Source organism: Homo sapiens, chromosome 18 (genome assembly GCF_000001405.40).
Source record: "Homo sapiens chromosome 18, GRCh38.p14 Primary Assembly".
NCBI classification, from domain to species: Eukaryota; Metazoa; Chordata; class Mammalia; order Primates; family Hominidae; genus Homo; species Homo sapiens.
Genome location: NC_000018.10, coordinates 77,361,946 through 77,368,195, shown reverse-complemented (window position 1 = coordinate 77,368,195; position 6,250 = coordinate 77,361,946). Strand labels below are relative to the sequence as shown.

General features: G+C 42.8%; 1 annotated feature.

Moving 5' to 3' along the window:
- Positions 584 to 1,088: an enhancer, noted in NCBI's record as "H3K4me1 hESC enhancer chr18:75079064-75079568 (GRCh37/hg19 assembly coordinates)". NCBI's record gives its function as "activates a minimal SCP1, AML or CMV promoter by ChIP-STARR-seq in naive H9 embryonic stem cells {active_cell/tissue: H9 hESC(naive)}" and the evidence as "EXISTENCE:reporter gene assay evidence [ECO:0000049][PMID:30033119]".

Below are 6,250 nucleotides of genomic sequence, written 5' to 3'. Positions count from 1 at the left end.
TCTCAGGAGGCTGAGGCAGGAGAATCGCTTGAACCCAGGAGGCAGAGGTTGCAGTGAGCTGAGATCACGCCATTGCAGTCCAGCCTGGGCAACAGAGGGAGACTCTGCATCAAAAAAAAAAAAAAAAAAAAAAGGGGGAGGCCACATATTTCAGTAGACATTTCACCAACGAGGAGACACAGGCAGCAAATGAGCATGCAGAGAAAGCGGCTCTTCATCACCGGCTGTTAGGAAAATGAAAATCAATACGCAGCTACTAAAGTGGCTTTTTTAAATTTAAAAGGTTAAAACCCAGAAACCTGCTGATAGCAAAAGCCAGCAAGAATGCAGAGCAGCTGAAATCTTCATGCACTGCAGTGGAGAGTGAAAAATCACACAAACACTTTGGAAAACAGTTTGAAAGTTTCTTCAAAATTCAACAGACACCCACCGTGTTCACTTGGCAATCTACCATAGGCATTCTTCCAATAGAAATAAAAAGATCTGTGAAAAAAATAAAAAATAAAACGACCTGCAGGCAAATGTTTACCGTAGCTTTGCTCATAATCTCCAAAAAAAAAAAAAAAAAAGCAGAAACAGCCCCAGTGTCCACCAGCCGGCGGCTGGAGACACAAATCACAGAGCATGCGCATCGTGGAACTGCCTGAGCAATAAGCTGCTGCCTCCTGCAAATGCATCAATCTCAGAAGCGTTATGTCATTAAATGGAAGAAGACAGACACAGAGGCTGCATACCGCATGAGCCCATCTGTCTGACACGCTGGGAAAAGCAAACAGTGGCCACCATGAGCTGGTGCGGGGGGAGAGAATGGGCTCCAAAGATTCACAAGGAAACTATTGTGGCGGTGGTTACACAGCTGAAAGTATTTGTCAAATCTCACTGACCTGCACAGTCCAAAGGATGAATTCTACTCTGTAAACAATTATACCTCCATAAACATGACTTTTAAATAAATGGCAAAACTACTGCCTAAGGAGGAGAAAGTGTGAGAGCAGGAGTTCGGAGGCTCTCTGCCTTCTTGTTGAGCGGGGCTCACTTCCTCTCACGGGCGTCAGAAGAGGCAGGCGGCCCGTCTGCAGGGCTGGATCCCCTGCCTCTGACGGCCGCTCTTTCCTGCCTCTCTGTGCTGCCCGCAGGGCCTAGGCTCGGGGCTGACTGCACACGGAGGATGCCGTTTTCTCATCTCCAGCGGCTAGCCGGGCCCAGGAAGAGACCTTCTGGCTCTGACTTTTCTTGTCCTGGAACAGAGCAGGCTCCAATTCTGAGCAAAGCTTTTATTGCCCTTAGCTCCGGTGGAAAACAACAAAAACGTGTGGGAGTTAGAGGTGCCCTCTTACACATTAACCTCAGAGCCCATTCCTGCTTCCAGCGTGCAATGGAGGTTCTGTGAAACAGACATGTTTGGGGAAATAAAAATTTCATTTACAAAATGGGTAAGGGCTTCTCCGAGAAAACTCTTAAGTGCTGAAAACTTATTTGTAAACTGAAATACAGTTCACTGGTTTATTCATTAAAGTTAATTAATTTTAATAATCTCTAATTGTATTAGTTTAGGGTTCAATTGCTGACAGTAAGAACCATTCTAGCCAGATTAAGCAAACAGAGGCTTATCAGCCGGGATGAGGTGGCTTTCTGAATCACTGGTGCAGCAAAGGCTCCTCACCCCAGGAGAGTGGTACCTAACCGTGGGGAGCAGAGGAGCCTCCTCAGGAGGGTCACATCAGGGTGCTGAGGCCTCGGAACAGCACCATCTCCACCCGCATCCGTGACACAACCCGAGGGCTTCTGCCCAGCTTCCCAAGCAATAGTTCATTCAAACTGATTCGCAAGGGATCTGGGAAATGTGGTTTTTAGCTCCAGGCTTGGCAGGATAGGGAGGAACACTAGATGAGGTCAGAATGGAGTGTGAGCTAGCTGAGCCTGATAAACACACTTGGTTTGTCATAGACATGGCTCTTTGTTAAAGCCCATCCACAAACACGTAAGACACAGGAAACCAAAGTGCAGTAATGAATACAGCACCCACAACTGAGAGGGGAGCGTGTGCTCTTCAAAACGGGACAAGCAGAAGAATGCAGTGCAGGCAGGGCTGTTGCTGTGGAGAAGACATCACAAGAAGCCACGGTTTTCCAGAGAGTCTCCAGTCCTAAAAACTACTTTATGGCAAGTGCGACATGCAAAGCCTGTGTAGGTTTTTAGATAGTAGATCTGGGGCAAGATCTAGAGACTCCAGCAGAGCTAACACATGATGTCTGACATCTGGAAAGTTACCAGAGAGCCACTGTGGTAGGACTTCCACTCACAGTCAAACCAGAGGACTTGAAAGACCTCCAATCTAGTCAGTCTGAACATCTCCCAGGAGAAATGGCTCAGGAAATGGACATTCGTCCAATTTCCTGAGAAAAGAAGACTCTTTTTAAACTCAGTCTCAGTAACTGTGAACACATAACACCAGCCCACAAAAGGAAATGTTAACTACATAACCATCAAATAGAAGAGAGACTTCTGCAAAGTAGAATGTGTGAGGAGACAGTATTATGAATGAGAATAGCACTAGTCTTTGAATAAGATGAAGGGGCAGCCATCGTCAGATTTTACAGATTCTGGGAATCATCCACCAGCTCCTATACCAGGGTCTGAGAGTCCCCTGTTAGATAGCAATGTTCTTTTTGATTAAAACATTACTTTCTCCTGGAGTGTTATTGAAAAGGCAAAATTCACTAGATTTTCCAATGTTAATACCCTAGGTCAATTATTTAATTTCATCACTTTCTTCCATAAATGTAAAAGGACTACCTATCTAAGGACGTTCTTAGAATAAGCAACTTTGAAGGAAACCAGAAGTTGGGCTAAAGTAGGTAGTTACCAGGTGGTGGGAACGGGGCCTTTACCAGGCACTTAAGATGCAGAGAATAAAATACAGTCCCTGGCCTCAGTGCACTTCCAGTCTAATTGAGAATACCAGACAGGTACACGAAAAGGTAACTAAAAACAAAACAGAAGATTGGTACAAGCAAGATCATCCATAAAGGTTTAGAGAGGGAAAACTAAAATATTGACAAGAAAAACTGCAAGAATAATTGGGCCATTCTGTAAACATATATTCTTAGAGTTTGAAAGGACCTTTCATGGAGGCTATGGCAACTGGCTGTGCTCAGAGGCACTATCCCTACCCAGAGCTACCCACGCGTGTGGACATCTCCAGTCAGGAAACTTGCTTCTTGAGTCAGCTTATTCCAATTCTGTTGTCAAAATGGTCTTTCTGCATGTCTTCAAAATTGACTTTCTTTTACATTTCACCCAGAGGTCTCAGTTACCCTTGGGAGCTACAAACATTTTGCCACTTTGCTCCTACTCAGTATTCTTCAAATAGTGAAAGAAATGTGTGTTGTCCTTAAGCTTTCTCCTCTACAGGTAAGCTTTATCTACTAAATGCCTGTCACCATGTTTTCCTTGAGATGGGCCTGAAACTTGTCATCATTCCAAAGGGGATTTAAAACACAGTACCAAAAAGAATGTATGGCCTAGCCTTGGCCATTTCTGTGTAGAGACAATGGCTCACATAGGGCAGGTTTTGGAAATTAGTTTGCAAAGGCAGGTGAGGGTCAGAGCGTGGAGGTTCTTGAGTGTGGGGCTAAGTCTGTACTTCGTCTAGTGACAGAGAAGCCACCAAATATTGCCCAGGAGATGATTTACAGGTGGGAAGCACCTTTCCAAAACATGTCCCAGATGTCAACCTTGACATCCAACTCGCAGAAATCCAAATGAAATGGACTCCAATGCTACTCCTCATGGGAAAATGAAATTCAGTTATCAAGAAGTGGGGGTTGGCTGGAATTTTTCTTGTCACGTGTGAGCTGAGTGTACTTAATAATTGCATCTTGTTGACTAACATATTATTTCCTCATTCTGCTCTGCTGCACCTCTGCTGAATAAGGATCCCTCCCTGTACCTTGCCTACAAAGCTCCCAGCATCCAACGCATTTGTGGGTGCTGCTGACTTACTGAACATTTGTGACAACGAAAGCCTCTTCCATTTCTGTGTTTCACAGTCTGCTCCACCTGCTTCCAAACTTTGTTTCCTATAATCAGCTCCCTCTCCTTCAGGTTTTCTCTATAAACTTGATTACCCTCAGTTTATGATGCAAAGAATTTTGTTTCCCACCTCCTGCAGGGCTCTCGACTTGACTCTGCATATTCAACACCTAATCATTTGCCTGCCAAATGGAGAGAAATAGACTTCAGACTATGCCCTTTGACAGAACAGAAAGGTTAACAGATGCTCCCAGAAGCCCCATTTCCCTTCTCCCGCCCCAGTCAACCGCTGTGAGTTGTTGCTGAAGGGAATCGTGTACCACTTTATTTCCCTACTGATATAATTTCCTCCACCGGAGAGATAGAAACAGCTATAACTAGTTTTTATTTATAAATGAGATTTTTCCTCATCTCCTTTATGGAAAGATTAATTCCATACTGATCTATAAAAAGAATTAATAGAAAAAGAAACTGAAAAAGTTGGAGCATTGAGTAAGGCATTAAAATAGTCCAGAAGTGATAAGATATTACACTTGGGCTGCCGCAATAGAGAACGGGAATGAAACAAGAGGATGCAGAAGAGGAAAATCAAATGAATAAGCCTAATGAAAAGAAAACATGAGTCAAGGTGGAATCCAGCATTTTCCAGCCAGGTAACTGAGGTCATCCATTCGTGTGCTAACCTGTGTGATAAACATGTATCAGGGGCTGAAGAAGAAGGGCTCTAGGTGCTGGGATATAGGAGTAGAAGGGTACAAGCTCCTACTTATGTTCTAGTGGGAGAAACAGACAATCATAACACAAACAAATGGTCAAGATGATTTCAGACAGCAACAAGTGCTGAGAAGACCATGAAACAAAGTGAGGGAACATGGCTAGGTTGGGGGAGGCAGGGCCTGCTTTAGATTAGGCAATGAAATAAGGCTTCCTTTTGAAGCTGATAATGAAATTGAAATTAGGATAATATCAAGGTGGTGGCTGTGCAGATGCTCAGGGCAGATTATTCCAAAAGAAAGGTCAAGAAAAGCAAATGGCTTAAGAACAAACTAAGCATAATTGAGGAGGAAAATACCTATGGGACCCCATGCAGTGTGAGGATGAGGGCGTGGTGAAGTTGGGGAAGTGGTTAAACAGGAGGTCATGTAGAAATGAGGTGACAATGGTGATGGTTAGGTGCAATGATTGTCCCTTTGTAAATACTCGGCAAATGACAATTATCATTCCAATATGGTTTGAATGTGACCCCACCCAAATCTCATCTTGAATTCCCATGTGTTGTGGGAGGAGCCCAATAGGAGGTAATTGAATCATGGGGGCAGGTCTTTCCTGTGCTGTTCTCATGATAGCGAATAAGTCTCATGAGATCTGATGGTTTTAAAAAGGAGAGTTTCCCTGCACAAGCTCTCTTGCTGTCTTTACCTGCTGCCATCCATGTAAGACATGACTTGCTCCTCCTTGCTTTCCACCATGATTGTCAGGCCTCTCCAGCCATGTGGAACTGTAAGTCCATTAAACCTCTTTTTCTTTTGTCTTGGGTATGACTTTATCAGCAGGGTGAAAAAAGACTAATATACATTCCTTATCCAATTATTATTATAGCTTCAGCTGGCTTGCAGCCTATGCTATACTGCTGGAAAATATAGCATGGACAGTAGGAATAAAAAATTTATCATTCCTCACAATCATATGAATTCAAAGTAAAAACACGAAGCAAGTGATTTATATAATTGGAAGATGAGGAAACCTTGCTGTTATGAATATGATGAAAAGAATCCATAATTGCATATCTTGCTGGTAGGAGTGTACATTTGCATAATTTTTAGAAATGTGAGTTAATGAAATCTACCAATAGCATTAAACATGTGTGCCTTTTGATTCAGATTCCATTTCTTAAAAATATTTAAGCATGGTAACAGTGAATTCAATGTGTGTGGGCAAATATTTCGTTAAAAGGATATTCCTGTGATATTGAACGTCTTAAAGAAAACTGGAAACAACCTAAATGTTTATCAGCAAGGAGTGGTTACATTATTAAACTTCCACAGATCTGACCACAGTTCAATCATTGAAACTGCTGTTACTAAAGATATATTTATTGACACAGAAAGACGTTTCTGATATCTTGCTTAATGAGAGACAGTGTAGAAATATTATTGTGGTATGATTGCTGAGATGAACTTTTTTGTCTGCTCACCATTTCATTAAGGGAACTCCC